The sequence below is a fragment of the Homo sapiens genome, chromosome 8 (assembly GCF_000001405.40).
Source record: "Homo sapiens chromosome 8, GRCh38.p14 Primary Assembly".
Taxonomy (NCBI): Eukaryota; Metazoa; Chordata; class Mammalia; order Primates; family Hominidae; genus Homo; species Homo sapiens.
This window is the reverse complement of record NC_000008.11, coordinates 73213861-73230866: the sequence shown is the minus strand read 5'-3', so window position 1 is coordinate 73230866 and position 17006 is coordinate 73213861. Positions and strand designations below refer to the sequence as shown.

At 41.7% G+C, this 17006-nt stretch overlaps 1 long non-coding RNA gene and 1 pseudogene across 1 annotated transcript in view; one reads left to right on the top strand and one right to left on the bottom strand.

Moving 5' to 3' along the window:
• LOC105375901 (uncharacterized) overlaps positions 1-6456 on the bottom strand; it is a 37845-nt gene extending 31389 nt beyond the window's left edge. Inside the window, exons 1-2 of the long non-coding RNA XR_929046.3 lie at positions 6271-6456; positions 1207-1290 (exon numbers count right to left, since the gene is read on the bottom strand). This is a non-coding gene — a long non-coding RNA (uncharacterized LOC105375901). The remainder of the gene's footprint in view (positions 1-1206; positions 1291-6270) is intronic.
• Positions 14241-15138, top strand: LOC646197 (heat shock protein 90 alpha family class B member 1 pseudogene; annotated as a pseudogene).
• The last annotated feature ends 1868 nt before the right edge of the window (positions 15139-17006 follow it).

The window sequence follows — 17006 nt, the reverse complement described above, 5'->3', positions numbered from 1 at the left end:
TGGTTGGTGTGAATTACAGATCATGATCATCCTCATCAGATTAACATATAGAGGGTTTTTTTAATGAGAAAAATCACTTTAGTAATTTTGAAAAATAATGGATATTTTTAGGAATTTCAGCAATGTGGAATGGTACAAAAAAGAAGTCTAAAAAGCACCTCAAATCTCATCACTCATAAATAACATCAGATGCCATTTAAAATTGGATGATTCTACGTATGCTATACTTAAAGTTATTCAACTTAATTTTTACTCTGCTATAAGAAAAACTTCAGTAAAAATGTGACATTGCTTAAATTCAAATATTATTACTTTTAAAATTATATATTATAAATTCATATTTAGATCAATTTTTAGATTTATCTCCAAACTTAGATCTAGGTCTTCTTTCCTTAAAGATTCCTCTGTAAGGCTTTTGAAACTGAAGCATGCCTCCAGATCTCCTGGAGAGCTTGTTAAAATCCAGACTCTTGTAGGTCTGGAGTGGGGCCTGAGAACTTGCATTTCTCACAGACTCCCAGGTGATGCTGACGCTGCCTGTCCACAGACCACACTTTCCGTAGACCTGCTTGAGAATCGTCTGTACTCAGAATCACCTGGCAAACATCTGCGAATTACCATTGTCCAGGTTCCACCCCCACAGATTCTGATCTAATTGGTTTGGGGTGGCCTCTTGAACTGGGGTAATTTTTAAAAGCTCTTCTCATGACCAGCCTGGCCAACATGGCAAAACTCTGCCTCTACTAAAAATACAAAAATTAGCTTGGCATAGTGGCAGGCACCTGTAATCCCAGCTATCCAGGAGGCTGAGACAGGAGAATTGCCTGAAACAACCTCCCGGGAAGTGGAGGTTGCAGTGAGCCGAGATCGTGCCATTGCACTCTAGCCTGGGCAACAAGAGCGAAACTCCGTCTCATTTTTCTTCCCTTCAGACCTATATGGATGTTTTCCGTTGTCTTCTGGTATTAATTGTTACCATGGAGAAATCTGATTCCTCACCATGTTTTATCCCTTGTAGATTATTGGCTGTTTCTGTGGGGATGCCTCAAGATTTTCTTGATTTTTGAAACTGAATTAAAGTATGATTCACTGTAGGTAGTACCAGTTCAAGATGTCCTGGAACATGGTGTATTCTTTCAAGGCTGTAGAGTCCATTCTTTCTGCATTTTTGGAAATTTTTCTTTTATTAAATCTTTGAATACTTACTCTTTCTATTCCATAGTTTTGAGTTCTCTACTTCAGGGACACCAAATATCCTTATTTGGGATCATCTTCATCTGTTCTAAATATCTAGAGAATTGGAGAATAAGAATTTGTCAATATTTTCTATTTTCTTTCTGATTCCTTGAATCTGTGGAATTTTTTTCTCCCACGGATGCATTCACTGTTGATTATCTTAGCATTCTTCTAAGTCAGCAGTTCAGTTTCTAGTTGTGACTCTTCTTCCTTGCTGTTTCTAATTTATTAATTTTGTAATGATATTATTTATTTTCTTTGATCTACAATCACTCTTTATTTAATTCTATGTCCAGGGATTGGCAAACTTTTTTTTTGGTAAAAAGGCTAGAGGGTAAATATTTTAGGCTTTGCCGACCATACAGTCTCTATTGCAGCTACTTAACTCTGACATTGTAGCATGAAAACGGTTATAGACAATCTGTAAATTAATGGGCATGACTGTGTTCCAATAACACGTTATTTACAAAAACAAGCCGCTGGCTCGCTCATTCTCAGTGGCAGTAGTATGTTTAGCACATAGTGTTCTTTAAGTAATTGTAATCTTCCTCCTCCCTCTTTTCAAGACCAGCTCTTAATTCACTGCCTCTGGGGATAGTTTCCTAATTCTTCCTAAAGTGGATGCTTCTTCTCTGTTCTCAGAACACTTTGTTTACAGGCAGCATGATCATCACCAAGTTGATTTAATAATAACTAATGTTTTTTGCAGGCGAATTATGTGCAGGCCATTGCACTAAATGCTTTTCATCTACTATCTTGTTGAAACTTCCCAGTAAACCAATTTTACAATTCCTAGTCAACTCATCTTTACTCCATTCTCCTGGGTGACTATTAGGCACCTCTTTTCTTTTCAAATCACCAATGCCTTCCCTCAGCCTCCTATTCTGAGCTTATGACCCATCTCTTTATTTCACTAAGAAAATATTAAATAGACGGAGTCAGAAGAGAACTTCCAGCACCCTAAATGCTAATCTATAACCCTACCTGCTTCTGTTCTCAGACGTGCACTACCCATGTTCCCAAGAGCAACCTCTTCACTTGTGCAGCAAATACATCTCGATCTCCTCTTGCTGCAGCAATGTATCCCCGAACCATCACAGTTTTTCCTCTAAATTTGATCATTTCCACCAGCATAGAAACTTGCTACAAAATCTGTCTTAAATGAACAAGCATCCCTCTTGTCACCTGCTACTTCATTTCTTTGCTTCCCTTTATAGCAAAACTCCAGAGTGCCCTGGACTCAGTCTTCCTTCCTCAACCTCCTGGCTCTCTTGAACCCACTCCAATTAGGCAGTTGGCATCACCACTGCACTAAAACAGCTCTTGTCAAGGTTTCTGGTAACTTCCATGTGGCCAAAGCCAGTGACAATTCTCAGTCCTTATTTGCCCTGTCAAGCACCTTTTGACACAGTGGATCTCTCTTCCTTGAGGAGGCTTCCAGAGCATTATTTTCTTTCTCCTTTTACTTTTCAAGCCACCTCTTCTCATTCTCCTTAACAAAGTCTACAGCTGGTAAATTGGCACATGTGGGATTCGAGCTCCTCCAAGGCAGAAACTACTTCTTACTCATTTCTATGTCCCTAGTACCTAGCACTATCCCCAGCACCTCATGTGAACTGAGAAGAATCTTTATTATTTTGCAAGAAAGGATGTTAGTTGGCGATGAGATGGTTCAGATCAGAGATGCTGGACTCTGAGTAAGGTGAGGGAGATGGGATGGAATTTCCAAAGGGTGGAGAACAGGTAGGATACCTGGACAGCTAAGTGGCAAACATAGGGTAGGACCAGATGGAAGAAGGAAATTGAGTCTAGTCTGGCAGGCCCTGTCTTCAAAGACTAGCAGCATATAGTTGAGAGACCACTTCCTGGTCTTTAGTCAAGAACTCATTGCCTAAGGACATGTTCCCAGGGAAGAGAACTCCACATGTGCCAGAATTTTACTGGCTGTGCCTTCAGTAACAGTTCCCAGGAGGGTGGGCAAGCAAAATGATTGGGCAGAGGACTTGAACAGCAGTGCAGCCTCAGTGAAGGCTTCCACCAATCCCACATGGATCTGTGGAACTGGAAAAGACCTTCAGGATTTTCCTGCTCTGAGGCAAGGAGATTTCACCTTTATAAACTCCACCCCTCCCTGCACTAGTCAGCCACAAGATCATGGGATCATGGATCATGGGGTGCGACCCTGGGCAAGGTAGATCTCTTCTGCCGAGGGAAATTTCTCAGGAGGGCCTCTCCTGTGGACACTCTCAGCAACTGAGGAGCAAGTACTGCAGCTCTCAAGATGCAATTTGGATGGCACACTACAGTATTCATTACACCTCTCCCCAGAGAAACCAAAGTATGGTATTAGGTAGGAATGAAGATAAGCACCCAGGAGTAGAAGAAGAAGAAGATGGCTTGACCATGTATTGGTAGGGCTCCTCTTAGGAAATGGCTCAAATGAAGAGACTTTATGGACAGGGTTAAAGAAGCAGACACGATTGTGATGTACCTGGAGACTAACACAGTGAAAAGCTGTTGCCACCCTTAGGGCTAAAGGGCCAAAGGGAGAGCCAGTAGGAACAGGCACTGCAGAAGAAGTGCTGCCTGGTAGGAGCTGTGGTTATGAGGGATGCCAGAGATGGTGCCGCATGGGGAGCAGGGAAGTTCCTGACTCTTTCTACTCCCTCTTTCCACCTCCTGCCTGTGTGCCTCCCATGGCCAACCCCTGTTCACAGTCTGTTGATAATGGAGCACAGGTCCTGCATTCCACGGGAGTCAGCTTCTTGAGGTGCAGAGCAGGGTGAACAGAGAGTGGATGTGGGTAAGGAGATGGAGAATAATCAGCAGAGATCACAAGGTAAAAGCAGTATTAGAACCGGGGGCCACGGGTGCGTCTGAGATGCTACTCTGCTCTGCCTTCCAGGCTTTTCTACTGACTGAGACTGAGGCTGAAGTAGAGTCTGGGTGTGGCTGAGTCTGGGGTGGGTCCCTAATGTGAGGATTGAATGCCAAATTGAGGGCAATTATGAGTGGTAGGCATGGCTAAGTGTTCCCAGGTGGGAAGGTGGGAGGGATCGAGGGGAAAAGAGACAAGGAGGAGAATATGACGCCCAAGGAAGCAAAAACTCAACGAAACCCACACAGAACCCTGAGGCCATTTGACGTTGCCTCCAGTCCCACCAAGTCTGTTGGTTTTGTTTGGTTCTAGCTGAGGTCTCTAACACAGAGATCAGACGGAGGACCAGATCTTCCTTCCAGGGACACTTGAACTAGTGAACTTGGATGTGCCCTTCAGCATGAACAGCCTGTGAAATGCAGGGAGAGGGAGTGGCGAGAGAAGGGAACCTTTACAGTAAGGAGTTGGGCTGGATGGGAGCAACATCTTCCTATGGAAAGGCCATGTGTCACTGCCCATCACCATAAAAAAATCTTGTGGGCATCCGGTAATCAACACTTACGGAGCCCAAATGGTAGTGGAAAATGCTTTTGACTTTACTCATATAGTCGGAGTGAATTGGGCATCCAGGAATCCTGTCTTCCTGGTGTCCTCCCTCTTTGTTTTTAACCTCTGTAGCCTCCCTGCTCCCCCACCTTGGCAGGGGAGATCAAGGTTCTGGCGATTATTTTTCCTGAGGAGATGGGACGGTAGCAGCTTGTAAATGGTCCTCCTCCTTAGAGGTAATCCTGGTCTTTTAGTCTTTTCACAGTGGAACACCTATGAAACCAACCCATTTCCCTCCTGGCAAATGAGGCCACTCCCATGCACTTCTTTGATGTGTTATTCAAGTGAAGCTCCCCTTCCAAACAAGGGTGAGGGCAGGAGCCAAAAAAAAGGGTGGTGGTGGTGGAGGGCTGGGGGGTGGTGGTGAGGGAGAGAAAAGCCTTGTCCTTCCACACGAAAAATAGTGATAATAATTATTACTCTAGTGGGCTATTATTGAGCAGTGGTTCATCTATTCTGTGGCTACTCTATGTTGGTACATATTAAATGCATGTTGAATATCCCTAATGGGAAAATTGAAAGTGCTGCAAAATCCAAAACTTTTTGAGCACTGACATGACCCCGCAAGTGGAAAATCCCAGATCTGATCACATGTGATGGATCACAGTCAACACACAGGTGCGTGACACAGTGTATTCGGTGTCCTCAAGGAAAAAAAGACCCAGTCCATTTAAGCTGCAATATATCTGTGCAGACTCAAATTCCCCATGCAAGCACAACCATAAAAAGCTATAAAATGGTACGTGTGCCAGCTGGACACACCAACAGCAGCTCCCCCATGATGCCCCACCTGGGGCTAAGGCTTACGTGCATTGCTCACTGTTTTTTGGCGTGTGCTCTGTGGTATAAAGATATTGTTGAAAATGTCAAAAAAAAGGCTGCATGATATCCATAGGGTAATGCAGATATTCCAAAATCTGAAAAAATTCAAAATCCAAGACACTTCTGGTTCCAACTCACTTCCACAAGTTGAATATGAGGGATACTCAACCTGTACTATTTTGGCTTGAATGGCGGCCCTCCCAAAAGATATGTTTATATCCTAACGGCTGGAACCCATGAATGTGAACTTATTTGGAAAAAGGGCCTTTGCAAATGTTATTAAGTTAAGGATCTCAAAATGAGATCATCCTGGATTATCTGAGTGGACCCTAAATCCAAAGACAAGTGTAGAGTCCTTATAAGAGACAGATAAAGGGATCCAGGAGAAGAGGAGAAGACCATGTGGAGACAGGAGAAGAGACTGAAGTGATGCAACTGCCAGCCAGGGATCTCCTGAACCACCAGAAGCTGGAAGAGGGGAGTGATTCTCTCCTATGGCCTTCAGAGGGAGCATGTCCCCTTGTTCTCACACTTCGAGCCTCTGGAACTTTAAGAGAATAAATTCCTGTTGTTTTAAGCCACCCAGTTTGTGTTTATTGGTTTTGGTGGCTCTAGGAATCTAAAACTAATGTTTACATGCATTATTTCTAATCCTCATGGTGACTGGTAAGATGAAGGAATTTTTTCCCCCATTTTATAGGCAAATAAATTGCAAGTTAGTAACTTACCCAAGTTTCTGCAGCTGGTAAATTGCAGAGCCAGGATTTGAACCTGGACTTGCCTGAATCACAAATCCAAGTTTCTCCTTCATGATGCAGTTCTCTTTGAGTACTTCATTTTTGATATCCTTTCCATGCAAAAAGTGCTCTTCTGCAGTCCTGACTCATGGGCACGTCTCTGCTTGCCCCAGTCATACTCATTCACTCAGCAACATTTACAGGCACACCTCATTTTATGGCACTTTGCTTTATTGCATCTCACAGATACTGCACTTTTTACAAACTGAAGGTTTGTGGCAACCCTACATTGGGCAAGTCTATCGGCGTCATTTTTCCAATAGGATGTGCTCACTTCATGTCTATGTGTCACATTTTGGTGACTCTTGCAATATTTCAAAGTTTGTCTTTATTATTATTTCTGTTACAGTGATCTGTGATCAGTGATCTTTGATGTTACTATTGTAATTGTTTTGGGACATCACAAACTGCACCCACATAAGAGGGTGAACTTAATTGATAGTTGTGTGGGTTCCGACTGCTCCATTGACCAGTCATTTCTCATCTCTCTCCCTCTCCTCAAACTCCCTATTCCCTGAGACACAGCAATATTGAAATTAGGCCAATTAATAACCCTACAATAGCTTCTAAGTGTTCAACTGAAAAGAAGCATCACATGTCTATCACTTTACGTCAAAACCTAGAAATTATTAAGCTTAGTGAGGAAGGCATGTCGGAACTCAAGATAAGTAGAAAGCTAGGTGTCTTGCACCAGTTAGCCCTGCTGTGAATGCAAAGGAAAATTTCTTGAAGGAAATTAAAAGTGCTAGTCCAGTGAACACACAAAAAGTAAGAAAGTGAAACAGTCTTATTGCTAATATAGAGAAAGTTTTAGCAGTCTGGATAGAAGATCAAACCAGCTGCAACATTCTCTTAAGCCAAAGCCTAACCCAGAGCAAGGCCCAACTCTCTTCAATTCCATGAGGGCTGAGAGAGGTGAGGAAACTGCAGAAGAAAAGTGTGAAGCTAGCAGAGGTTGTTTGTTCATGAAATTTAAGGAAAGAAACCATCTCCATAGCATAAAAGTGCAAGGTGAAGCAGCAAGTGATGATGGAGAAGTGGCAGCAGGTTATCCAGAAGATCTAGCTAAGATCATTGATGAAGGTGGCTACACTAAACAACAAATTTTCAGTGTAGATGAAACAACCATATGTTGTGAGAAGATGCCATCTAGGACTTTCATAGCTACAAATGAGAAGGTGATGTCTGGTGAAATAGTTTAGATATTTGCCCCCACCCAAATCTCATGTTGAAATGTAATCCCCAATGTTGGAGGTGGGGCCTGGTGGAAAGTGACTGGATCATAGGGGTGTATTTCTCATGAATGGCTTAGTGCCATACCCTTGGTACTGTTGCTGTAATAGTGAGGGATTTCTCACGAGATCTGGTTGTTTAGAATTGTGTGGCACCTCCCCTGCCTTCTCTTTCTCCTGCTTTGCCTTTTGCCATGATTGTAAGTTTCCTGAGGCCTCCCCAGAAGGCAAGCAGATGCCAGCACCATGCTTCCTATAAAGCCTGCAGAACCGTGAGCCAATTAGGCCTCCTTTCTTTATAAATTACCCAGCCTCAGTTTTTTTTTTTTTTTGAGACGGAGTCTCGCTCTGTCACACAGGCTGGAGTGCAGTGGTGCAATCTCAGCTCACTGCAGCCTCCACCGCCCAGATTCAAGCGATTCTCCTGCCTCAGCCTCCCAAGTAGCTGGAATTACAGATGTGCACCACCACGCCCAGCTAATTTTTGTATTTTTAGTAGAGATGGGGTTTTGCCATGTTGGCCAGGCTTGTCTCAAACTCCTGACCTCAAGTGATCTGCCTGCCTTGGCCTCCCAAAGTGCTGGGATTACAGGCATGAGCCACCGTGCCCAGCCACCTCAGGTATTTTTTTATAGCAACATAAGACCAGCCTAATATGCCTGGCTTTAAAGCTTCAACACATAGATTGATTCTCTTGTTAGGCACTGATATAATGGTGACTTTAACTTGAAGCCATTGTTCATTTCCCATTCTGAAAATCCTACGGTCCTTAAGAATTATACTAAATCTGCTCTGCCTCTGCTCTAGAAATGGAACAACAAAGTCTGGATGACAGCGCGTGTTTACTGCATGGTTTGGTGAATATTTTAAGTTCACTATTGAGACCTACTCCACAGGAAAAAAATAGAGATTTCTTTCAAAATATTACTGCTTATTGACCATGCACCTAGTTACCCAAGAGTTCTGATGGAGATGTACCGGGAAATAAGCATTGTTTTCATGCCTGCTAACACAACATCCATTCTGCAGCCTATGGATTAAGGAGTAATTTTGAGTTGTAAGTCTTATTATTTAAAAAATATATTTAGTAAGGCTTTGCTTGCCATAGATTGGATTCCTTTCTTGGATCTGGGCAGAGTACAGTGGAAAACTCCTAGAAAGTCATCATTCTACATACTGTTAAGAACATTCATGATTCACAAGAGGAGGTCATACTATCATCATTAACAGGAGTTTGGAAGAAGTTGATTTGCACCCTCAAGTGTAACCTGGAGGGGTTCAAGACTTCAGTGGAGGAAGTAACTGCAGATGTGGTACTTGTCAGGGGATTGCAGCAATCTCATGACAAAACTTGAATGGATGAGGAGTTGCTTTTTATAGATAACCATAGAAAGTGATTTCTTGAGATGGAATCTACGCCTGTCAAAAATGCTGTGAACATTGTTGAAATGACAATTAAACATTTAGAATGTAGTATAAACTTAGTTGATAAAGCAGCAGCAAGATTTGAGAAAATTGACTGAAATTTTGAAAAAAGTTCTCCTAACGAAGAGACAACATACCAAAATCTCTGGGACATAGCTAAAGCAGTGCTAAGAGGGAAATTTGTAGCACTAAATGCCCACATCAAAAAGCTAAAAAGATCTCAAATCGACACCCTAACATCACAAATAAAAGAACTAGAGAACCAAGAGCAAACGAACCCCAGAGCTAACCAAAGACAAGAAATAAGAAAGCTCAGAGTGAAACTGAAGGACATAGAGAAATGAAAAATCCTTCAAAAAAATCAGCGAATCCAGGAGCTGGTTTTCTGAAACACACAATAAAATAGATAGACTGCTAATGAGACTAATAAAGAAGAAAAGAGAGAAGATTCAAATACTTACAATCAGAAATGATAAGAGGGATACCACCACTGACCCCACAGAAATACGAACAACCATCAAAAAATACTATAAACACCTCTATGCAAATAAACTGGAAAATATAGAAGAAATGGATAAATTCCTGGACACCTACACCCTCCTAAGACTGAACCAGGAAGAAGTTGAATCCCTGATGGGACTAATAACAATAACAAGTTCTGAAATTGAGACAGTAATAAATAGCCTACCAACCAATAGCTTAGCCCAGGTCCAGATGGATTTATAGCTGAATTTTACCAGAGGTACAAAGAGGAGCTGGTACCATTTCTCCTGAAACTATTCCAAACAATTGAAAAGGATGGACTCCTCCCTAACTCATTTTATGAGGCTAGCATCATCCTGATACCAAAACCTGGCAGAGATACAACAAAAAAAGAAAACAGGCCAATATCCCTGATGAACATAGATGCAAAAATCCTCAATAAAATACTGGCAGACTGAATCCAGTAGCACATCAAAAAGCTTATCCACTATGATCAAGTTGGCTTCATCCCCGGGATGCAAGCCTGGTTCAATACACCCAAATCAATAAACATAATTCATCACATAAACAGATCTAAAGACAAAAACCACATGATTATCTCAGTAGATGCAGAAAAGGCCTTTTATAAAATTCAACATTAAGTTAAAAACTCTCAATAAACTAGGTATTGAAGGAACATGCCTCAAAATATTAAGAGCCATTTATGAGAAACCTTCTGCCGATGTCAGACTGAATGGGCAAAAGCTGGAAGCATTCCCTTTGAAAACTGGCACAAGACAAGGATGCCCTCTCTCACCACTCTTACTCAACATAGTATTGGAAGTTCTGGCCAGGGCAATCAGGCAAGGGAAAAAAATAAAGGGTATTCAAATAGGAAGAGAGGAAGTCAAATTGTCTTTGTTTGCAAAGGACATGATCCTATATCTAGAAAACCCCATCGACTCAGCCCAAAAGCTTCTTAAGCTGATAAGCAACTTCAGCAAAGTCTCAGGATACAAAATCAATGTGCAGAAATCACAATCACAATGTGCAGAAATGCACCAACAACAGACAAGCAGAGAGCCAAATCATGAATGAACTCCCATTCACAATTCCCACAAAGAGAATAAAATACCTAGAAATACAGCTAACAAGGGAAGTTAAGGACCTCTTCAAGGAGAACTACAAGCCACTACTCAATAAAATCAGAGAGGACACAAGCAGATGGACAAACATTCCATGCTTATGGATAGAAAGAATCAATATCGTGAAAATGGCCATACTGCTCAAAGCAATTTATAGATTCAATGCTGCTATTCCCATTAAACTACCATTGACATTCTTCACAGAATTAGAAAAAGCTATTTAAAAATTCACATGGAACCAAAAAAGAGCTCGTATAGCCAGGACAATCCTAAGCAAAAAGAACAAAGCTGGAGGCATCATGCTATACTACATTCAAACTATACTACAAGGCTACAGTAACCAAAACAACATGGTACTGGTACAAACACAGACACATACACCAATGGAAAAAATAGAGAACCCAGAAATAAGGCTACACACCTACAATTATCTGATCTTTGATGAACTTGACAAAAACAAGCAATGGGGAATGAATTCCCTATTCAATAAATGGTGCTGGGAGAACTGGCTAGCCAGATCCAGCAGAAAATTGAAACTGGGTCCCTTCCTTATACCTTATACAAGAATTAACTCAAGTTGGATTAAACACTTAAATGTAAAACACAAAACCTTAAAAACCCTAGTAGAAAATCTAGGCAATACCATTCAGGACATAGACATGGTCAAATATTTTATGATGAAATTGCCAAAGGCAATTGCAACAAAAGCAAAAATTGACAAATGGAATCCAATTAAACTAAAGAGCTTCTACACAGCAAAAGAAACTGTCATCAGAGTAAACAGACAACCTACAGAATAGAAGAAAATTTTTGCAGTCTATCCATCTGACAAAGGTCGAATATCCAGAATCTACAAGGAACTTAAACAAATTTATAAGAAAAAACAAACAACCCCATTAAAAAGTGGGCAAAGGATATGAACAGACACACCTTAAAAAAAGACACATATGCGGCCAACAAACATGTGAATAAAAGGTCAACATAACTGATCATTAGAGAAATGCAAATCAAAACCACAATGAGATACCATCTCATATTAGAATGGTGATTACTAAAAAGTCAAGAAACAACAGATGCTGGTGAGGTTGTGGAGAAACAGGAACACTTTTACACTGTTAGTGGGAATGCAAATTAGTTCAACCATTGTGGAAGACAGTGTGGTGATTCCTCAAAGATCTAGAACCGGAAATACCATTTGACCCAGCAATCCCATTTGACCCAGCAATCCCATTACTGGGTATATATCCAAAGGAATATAAATCATTCTATTGTAAAGATACATGCATGCATATGTTCATTGTAGCACTATTCACAATAGTAAAGACATGGAATCAACCCAAATGCCCATCAATGATAAACTATGGAATACTATGCAGCCATAAAAAGGAATGAGATCATGTCGTTTGCAGGGACATGGATGAAGCTGGAAGCCATTATCCTCAGCAAACTAATGCAGAAATGGAAAACCAAACACCGCATGTTCTCACTTATGAGTGGGAACTGAACAATGAGAACACGTGGACACCGGGAGGGGAACAACACACACTGGAGCCTATTGGGGGAGGGTGGGGGAAGGGGAGAGCATTAGGGAAAAGAGCTAATGCATGTTGGGCTTAATACCTAGGTGATGGGTTGATAGGTGCAGCAAAGCTGTGTTACATAGGTGTTTACTGTGTAACAAACCTGCATTCTGCACATGTACCCTGGAACATAAAAAAACTAAAGCAATGTTTTTTAAAAAAGAAAAAAGTTCTCCTGTGGGAAAATACTATGAAATAGCATTCTCATGCTACAGAGAACTCAATCAAGGAATAGTCAATCAATGCGAAAACTTTATTGTGGTTTTATTTTAAGAAATTGCCATAATCACTCTCACCTTTTACACCACCCTGATCAGTCAGTAGCTATCAGAATCAAGACAAGACCTTCCACCAGCAAAAAGATGATGACACACTGAAGGCTCAGATGATTATTATCATTTTTTAGCAATAAAATATTTTTAAATTAAGGTAGGGAAAAATTCAAACCATGTTTTTCCTCTTTTCTCATTCAAAACACAACAACAATCAACACAAAAAAGTTCTGTGACCAAATGTGGGGGATTACTCCCCACCAAAAAATAAGCAATCTGCAGTTCTGCTGCAGATACGAACTGAGTATCCTCTAATTTAATTCTGACACTATCTACCTCAAGATAGTGTCAGAAACTTACAATCATGGTGGAAGGTGAAGAGGAAACAAGCACCTCTTCACATGGCGGCAGGAGAGAGAGAGAACAAGGGGGAAAGTGCCACACACTTTTAAACCATCAGCTGTCATGAGAACTCATTCACTATCACAAGAACAGCATGGGGGAAACCCGCCCCCATGATCCAATCACCTCCCACCAAGTCCCTCCCCCAACATTGGGAATTACAATTCAACATGAGATTTGGGTGGGCACACAGAGCCAAACCATATCAAATAATATCACAGGTATGTTCACTTTTAAAGACATTATGCTATTGCACACTTAATAGACCACAGTATAGTGTAAACATAACTTTTATATGACTGGGGACCCAAAAAAAATTGTGTGACTCACTTTGTCATGGTGTTCTGGAACTGACCCTGCAATATCTCTGAGGTTTGCCTATAATTAATGGGCTATTTGTGTTGGGCATTAAATTAGTGCTGTGGATACAAAATTGATTGTCACTAATTCCTTTTCCTCACCTCATTGAGGGCCTCAAATTTTAGAGGAGGAAAAGTCTAGCTTCCATATCTCAAAAAATAGGTTAAAATATTGTAGAACCCTAAGTTATGGTTTAAAATATTAGTGATTACTGGCATCTGTACAATTATTTATGGTTTAATAAAGGTTTTCCATCATGGTCTTAGTCTGTTTTATGCTACTACATCAAAATACCTGAGACTGGCTAATTCATAAAAAACAGGAATTTATTTCATACAGTTCTGGAGGCTGAGAAGTTCAAGATCAGGGTGCTGACAGTTTCAGTGTCTGGTGACGGCCTGGTCTTTGCTTCCAAGATGGTGCCTCATTTTTGTTTCCTCCAGATGGAAAGAGTGCTGTTTCCCCACATGGCTGAAGGTGGAAGGGTAAAAGGTACGAACTCCCTCTGTAAATCTCTTTTATAAGGGCACCTAATCTCACTCACAAGGGAGGAGCCCCATGGCCTCATCACCTCTTAAAGGCTCCACCTCTTTTTTTTTTTTTTTTTTTTTTTTTTGAGACGGAGTCTCCTCTGTGGCCCAGGCTGGAGTGCAGTGGCGCCATCTCAGCTCACCGCAAGCTCCGCCTCCCGGGTTCACGCCATTCTCCCGCCTCAGCCTCCCGAGTAGCTGGGACTACAGGCGCCCACCACCATGCCCGGCTAATTTTTTGTATTTTTAGTAGAGACGGGGTTTCACCGTGTTAGCCAGGATGGTCTCTATCTCCTGACCTCATGATCCACCCACCTCGGCCTCCCAAAGTGCTGGGATTACAGGCGTGAGCCACCGCGCCCAGCCAAGGCTCCACCTCTTAATACTCTCCCATTGGCAGCACGTGAATTTTGAAGGGGAAACATTCAAATCACATGATTTCATTTCAGCCTTGGACAGTGAAGTTACACGTGGATGTAACATGAGTAATTTTCTGGTGAGAGCAAAGAGCAGGTGGCCAATTCTGCTTTTGTGGACCGAGTGTGGAAGCGGGGCTTCAAGGTAGTCTCTATGACTGAGTCCATTGATGAGTCCAATGTGTGCAGCAGCTCAAGGAATTTGATGGGAAAAGCCTGGTCTCAGTTACCAAGGAGAGTCTGGAGCTACCTGAGAATGAGGAGAAGAAAATGGAAGAGAGCAAGGCAAAGTTTGAGAACCTCTGCAAGCTCATGAAAAAAAATCTTAGATAAAAAGTTTGAGAAGATGACAATCTTCAATAGGCTTGTGTCTTCACCCTGTTGCATTGTGACCAGCACCTATGGCTGGACAGCCAATATGGAGCAGATCATGAAAGCCCAGGCACTTCGGGACAACTCTACCATGGGCTACATGATGGCCAAAAAGCACCTGGAGATCAACCCCAACCACCCCATTGTGGAGATGCTGCAGCAGAAGGCTGAGGCTGATAGGAACAGCAAGGCAGTCAGGGACCTGATGGTGCTGCTGTTTGAAACCGTGCTGCTCTCTTCTGGCTTCTTCCTTGAGGATCCCCAAACTCACTCCAACTAGATTGACTGCAGGATCAAGCTAGGCCTGTTGAGGATGAAGTGGAAGCAGAGGAACCCAGTGCTGCAGTTCCTGATGAGATTCTCTAGCTTTGAGGGCAATGAAGATGCATCTTGCATAGAAGATCAGGAGTTTATACCTTGGGTCTTCATATAATGTCCCCACGGTTCTCACCGCAGCCTTGTGTGCCTTGTCCTACGTGGCTCCCTCTGCTAATGTCTAGTGTTTTTTCCTCTCCTGTCCTTGTGTCTCAGGCAGGAAACAAGGGCCTCAAGCCCCATTCCCTCCCTTCTCTGACAGCAGGATTGGATGTTATGTATTGTGGTTTTATTGTTTGATCATTTTGTTCTGAATCTAAAGTATGCAAAATAAAGAATATGCTGTTTTTATTTAACAAAACCCAAAACATATGAGTGATTTTGTGAATAAAGACAAAAGTGTGTTCCTAAGTCCAGAGGCTCCCTTGGTGTCACATGGTTTCTAGGTGGCGGCTCTCTACAGCACGCTGCCATCAGGAACACTTTCCAAACCTCCATTAGGTCCATCATAGACTCTTATAATCAGCCATAGAATTTCAAGTGCTTAATATTCCTCTGGTTTTTCTGTCTGAATTTTTCTGCATTTGAAAATGAGGGGGACTGCTACCTGGAATTATGAAGAGCTGGCTTCTAATTGAATGGGCTTAGAATGTTGAGTGCAGGGCAGACTTCAGCAGACAGTCCAAGTCAGAAGAAAGCTGAATTTAAGACCTGCTTTAGAATAAATATTTGTGATTCCTCAAGCAGTTCTTGTCTCTTAATGTATGGCATTTTCAAAATGCTTACAGTCTGTACCCTGATTGATGTTTATGTTTAAAGAAGTATAGAAATTGCCATCAGTACCTGTTGATCCCACGAGAATATTAAGCTAAACAGAGAAAATGTATGTGTTCACAGTTACAGGCACAATTTATAGTTCTTGGAATACAAGTTGATATCTACACAAAATAGATGTATAAAGAGAGGAATGCTTTTTGATTATTGAGAGTGCTTTGCTTGTGCCATGTTTTTACCTGAAACTAAAGAGACATCAGTGTGTAATTTTCCTACAACTCTACAAGCCTAAGTATAATCTGAGGTAATGTATGCACAAAGAGACCAAAAACCTATCTTCTAAAAACTGGGCCTGGTGAAATAATACTATCAGGGACCTTATCCTAGAACTTATAATTTTTGTGGTAGCTGACAGACTTGGAGTCTAGGCTTATAGAGTGTTGTTTTGGTGACAACAAAAATGTTGGAAGAAAAGATGCCTTTGGCTCATAACAAGCCAATTTCATTTAATATAAAGGTATTTTAGGCTGGGCACCATGGCTCATGCCTGTAATCCCTACACTTTGGGAGGCCAAGGTCAGGAGTTTGAGACCAGCCTGACCAACATGGAGAAACCCCGTCTCTACTAAAAATACAAAATAAGCCAGGTGTGTTGGCACGTGCCTCTAATCCTAGCTACTAGGGAGGCTGAAGCAGGAGAATTGCCTGAACCTGGGAAGCAGAGGTTGCGGTTAGCCAAGATCACGCCATTGCACTCCAGCCTGGGCAACAAGAGTGAAACTCCGTCTCAAAAAAAAAAAAAGTATTTAGCAGGTTAAATATATTCACAAATTGATTTACACTTTAGAAGATCTGGCATATATACTTGAAACAATTTCTGACAACTATCCCCTCTCCTTCCAACTACAGGTTGTGCTTCTGCAATCTTTTTTTTCTAAATTGTGATAAAATACACAAAACGATAAATTGACAGGCACTTTGGTTCACAACTGTAATCCCAGCACTTTGGGAGGCTGAGGCAGGAGGATTGCTTGAGGTCAGGAGTTTGAGAACAGCCTGGGCAACATAGCAAGACCCTATCTCTTCAAAAAATAAAAAAAGTTAGCCAGGTGTGGTGTTGCATGCCTGTATCCCAGCTACTCAGAAGGCTGAGGCAGGAGGATCTCTTCAGTTCAGGAGTTTGAGTTTGCAGTGAGCTATGTGCCACTGTACTTTAGCCTGGGCAACAGAATGAGACCATGTCTCAAAAAACAAAAACCCCAAAATTACCATTCTAACCATTTTTAAGTGTACAATTCAGTGGTATTAAATATGTTCACATCTACAATCTTGAGTTCTCTTGGTGTTTTGTTTAGGACTGACTTCCTTTCTTCTCTGTTAGT